Source organism: Homo sapiens, chromosome 8 (assembly GCF_000001405.40).
Source record: "Homo sapiens chromosome 8, GRCh38.p14 Primary Assembly".
NCBI classification, from domain to species: Eukaryota; Metazoa; Chordata; class Mammalia; order Primates; family Hominidae; genus Homo; species Homo sapiens.
Window position 1 is genome coordinate 48,530,056 of NC_000008.11, and position 1,104 is coordinate 48,531,159.

Genomic DNA, 1,104 nt, shown 5'->3' on the forward strand with positions numbered 1-1,104 from the left:
AATGGTGTCTGTCAGCCTGTCTCCCTTCCTGCTGCATTCTGTGGCTTTTAACAAAGGCAGGCATTGGAATGCATGAATATTGAAGAGGTACACGCCGACAGTGTTACAAACACATCTTGAATTTTGAATTTTAAGTTAACATCCAGTAGAGCCAAGTTCTTCTGCATGTGTGCACCACCCATGAGCCTTAACACACGTGTAGATTTGTCTCATTACAGGCAAGACACAGGGTAGCTGCAGCACCTGGAGGCCCTGAGCTGCCCTGGGGCGATCACACCCTCCCCCATGCCACCCCAAAGCCATCAGTCTGCTCAGTCATGTAAATAGGGTCATACAGGTAGAAACCTCTTGATATTGGCGGTGGCTTCTCCTCCTCTTCCTCCTCCTCCTTCTTCTTCTTCAAGCTATTATTATTTTCATTTTAGGAAACAGAGATTCAAATAAATTAATTGTATAAGGTAACAAAATTCAGGGATGCCAGAGTTGATTCTGAGCCTAGTTCATTTTGAGTTCCAGTCTTACAATTAGAGACTATACAAATCTGTCCCCACACTGGATTCAGAGCATCTTTAAAATAATGAGATATTGTACTTGATAGATTGAAACTTACAATAAATATTATTTGCCTAGCAGCATACAGACATGGTTTGAAATATCATAAAATGGAGGAATTAACTTTGGATATTGGCATCTTCTGATTCACCCATGTGATTGAGGATATCAGTGGTTTGTTCCTTGTTGCTGCTGACTAGTATTTCATTGTATAGATGTGTCATAGTTTGTTTATTCATTGGTTAAAGGACATTTATATTGTTTTCTGTTTTTCATGATTATTACTAGAGCTGCTATGAATATCCATTTACAAAATTTTTGGTGAACATAAGTTTCCATTTCTCTAGAGCAGGGATGGAAATCTTTTTTTTTTAATGGTCAGATAATACATATTATAGGCTTTTCAGGTCACAAAACAACTCAAAATCGAGGCTACTATGCAGGAACTTTTATAACCACTTAAAAATGTTAAAACGATTTGAAGTTTGCACAAACCATAAAAAACAACAAAATGAAACAAAGCAAAAACAAGTTCCACTTGTTTTGTGAAGT

The 1,104-nt window shown here is 37.6% G+C and overlaps 1 annotated feature.

The window, feature by feature from the left end:
* Positions 1-564: an enhancer, noted in NCBI's record as "OCT4-NANOG hESC enhancer chr8:49442616-49443179 (GRCh37/hg19 assembly coordinates)". NCBI's record gives its function as "activates a minimal SCP1, AML or CMV promoter by ChIP-STARR-seq in primed H9 embryonic stem cells {active_cell/tissue: H9 hESC(primed)}" and the evidence as "EXISTENCE:reporter gene assay evidence [ECO:0000049][PMID:30033119]".